Source organism: Homo sapiens, chromosome 17 (assembly GCF_000001405.40).
Source record: "Homo sapiens chromosome 17, GRCh38.p14 Primary Assembly".
In the NCBI taxonomy this organism is placed as follows: Eukaryota; Metazoa; Chordata; class Mammalia; order Primates; family Hominidae; genus Homo; species Homo sapiens.
The window spans coordinates 41,176,195-41,178,501 of record NC_000017.11 but is presented as its reverse complement, the minus strand read 5'-3'; the positions used below and the strand labels follow the sequence as shown (position 1 = coordinate 41,178,501).

Below are 2,307 nucleotides of genomic sequence, written 5' to 3'. Positions count from 1 at the left end.
ATGTGCTTACAGGCAGATGTCACATGGCTGCTCTAGGAGGAAGCTATAGTAAGAGAGACACAGGAGGTGGTTCAGGAAGAGCTGAGCTAAGGAGTCCTAACACATTAGGGAAAGGAGACAGTGTTTCCATCTATGTGGATAAGTTAACCAGAACAACAAACTTGCCTAATTTGATAATTGCCTACATATCAGGACAAATAATAACAAGGAAAGAGTGTTGCATCTGATGACATCAGGCCTTAGCAGGGTATAAAAGAGGATCTGGGGCAAGGAAACTTCCAAACCTTCCAAACCCACCTTCCTGGAAATCCACCCAGAACCTCCACCCTCTGACACCATGGTCAACTCCTGTTGTGGCTCTGTGTGCTCTGACCAGGGCTGTGGCCTAGAGAACTGCTGCCGTCCCAGCTGCTGCCAGACCACCTGCTGCAGGACCACCTGCTGCCGCCCCAGCTGCTGTGTGTCCAGCTGCTGCAGACCGCAGTGCTGCCAGTCTGTGTGCTGCCAGCCCACCTGCTGCAGCCCCAGCTGCTGCCAGACCACTTGCTGCAGGACCACCTGCTGCCGTCCCAGCTGCTGTGTGTCCAGCTGCTTCAGACCCCAGTGCTGCCAGTCTGTGTACTGCCAGCCCACCTGCTGCCGCCCCAGCTGTGGCCAGACCACCTGCTGCAGGACCACCTGCTACCGCCCCAGCTGCTGTGTGTCCACCTGCTGCCGCCCAACCTGCTCTAGTGGCTCTTGCTGCTGATGCCCTCACCTATACTCACCTGCCTTTATTAACCAGCATTCTTGATATGATCCACCTGTGAACTGAATCATGCAAGGCCAATTGGACAACCTCAGTTCCAACCAATTCTTGGATTGAGTTTGGCCTCCAAATATGCTCACCAAACACTATGTTGCTACCCTCTACCAAATGAATACAAGTTTGAATTTTCTCTGAAATATGTCAACCCCATGTTCCCTGAATTGAAATATTTGCTCTCTACCATAATTTATCACATGGAGCTATTCCTCTATCTTAAATAAATTTTAATTTTTGAGGCATACAAATAATATACGGGCATTGTGTCTCATTTTTCCTTCTTGAATTCTCATCCTTACCTGTCAAATTTTCTGATGTTCTTCCCTGCAGAGGGAGAAGACCACAGCAGATGATATCAGGGGCTCCACCTCTATCCTATCAGCACTCTCCATTCAAACATAGGAAAATGGTTCCTTAGAGCAGGCACCTGGAACTCTCTACCTGAGGACTTTCTCTGGATAAAGGAGCAAACTCTGGGCTGGAGACTTAAAGCCTCTAGGAACAGCACTCAGAGAATGAGTGGGAGTTGGTAATATATGCCCTGGCTTGTTTCCCTCCAGTGGGGGGTATGTCAAACCAGTCTTCCAGAGGTCTTCAGCGGGATTTATACCAGATGCCTGCAGGAACATTCTGATCATGAACTCACTCTATAATGACTTTCCCTCCTTCCCAGGGTCATTCTTCAAGTTTCCTCCAGTGTTTCTTGGGTTAATCGTCCAAATATACCACATGTTCTCAGATCCTCTTTTGTGGGTTTGCCCCAGAGAGCACACAATCTAAAACAGCAGCATTCCTAATCTCAGTATTAGTGTCCTTCAAAATGTTTTTGTACAATATGAATGGTTACCATAGATTTTGATCAACTCTTGAGTTTACTGTCACCTGAATGGACACCTCTGAACATTTTGCTGTTTTTTTTCTTTTCAATTTTTGCGCATTACAATTTTTTTCTATTATTTGTTCATTTACTTTTTTGGTCTTCTTTTAAGAATTTTAATTTTTAAAGTTTTTATTTCAATATGCATGTTTGCTTTTAAACTAGTTGTCTTTGATTGTTTTTTTCTTCACATCGTTTTATCTGAGGGATAGGACACAACCACCGTGTTGGTGATTCTCATCCTAAAAAAGGCTATATTGAAAAAGGTTTCACCCTGAGCCATGCTGCTAAGTTGGAGGCACCAAAGAAAGATCTAAAACAGGATGTTTGCACAAGTGACTTTTATAAGAAAATGCTCTCAGGAGAAATCAGTAAGGAAATGTCGGAAACAGAATAGGATTGTAGAAGAGGCTAAGCCCAAAAGGATTTTATTGTCATTTGACCCCACAGGAAGCTCTAGAGTGTGAATGGTATTACAGACCCATCTTTCTGAGAGGTAAGGTCGTTGGAACTTTACAATCCTACATCAGTTACCACTAGCTATGGCCCACCCTGTGGGAGAGGAAGAGGATGCGAAGAGGGCGGAATCCTCCAGATGAGGTGGCTCCTGTAAGCTGAGGACAAC

The 2,307-nt window shown here is 45.4% G+C and overlaps 1 protein-coding gene across 1 annotated transcript; it reads left to right on the top strand.

The window, feature by feature from the left end:
- The first annotated feature begins 280 nt into the window (after positions 1-280).
- Positions 281-1,056, top strand: KRTAP4-2 (keratin associated protein 4-2). The gene has a single exon (NM_033062.4). The coding sequence runs from the start codon at positions 338-340 to the stop codon at positions 746-748; it is 411 nt and encodes a 136-aa protein (NP_149051.2). The 5' UTR covers positions 281-337; the 3' UTR covers positions 749-1,056.
- The last annotated feature ends 1,251 nt before the right edge of the window (positions 1,057-2,307 follow it).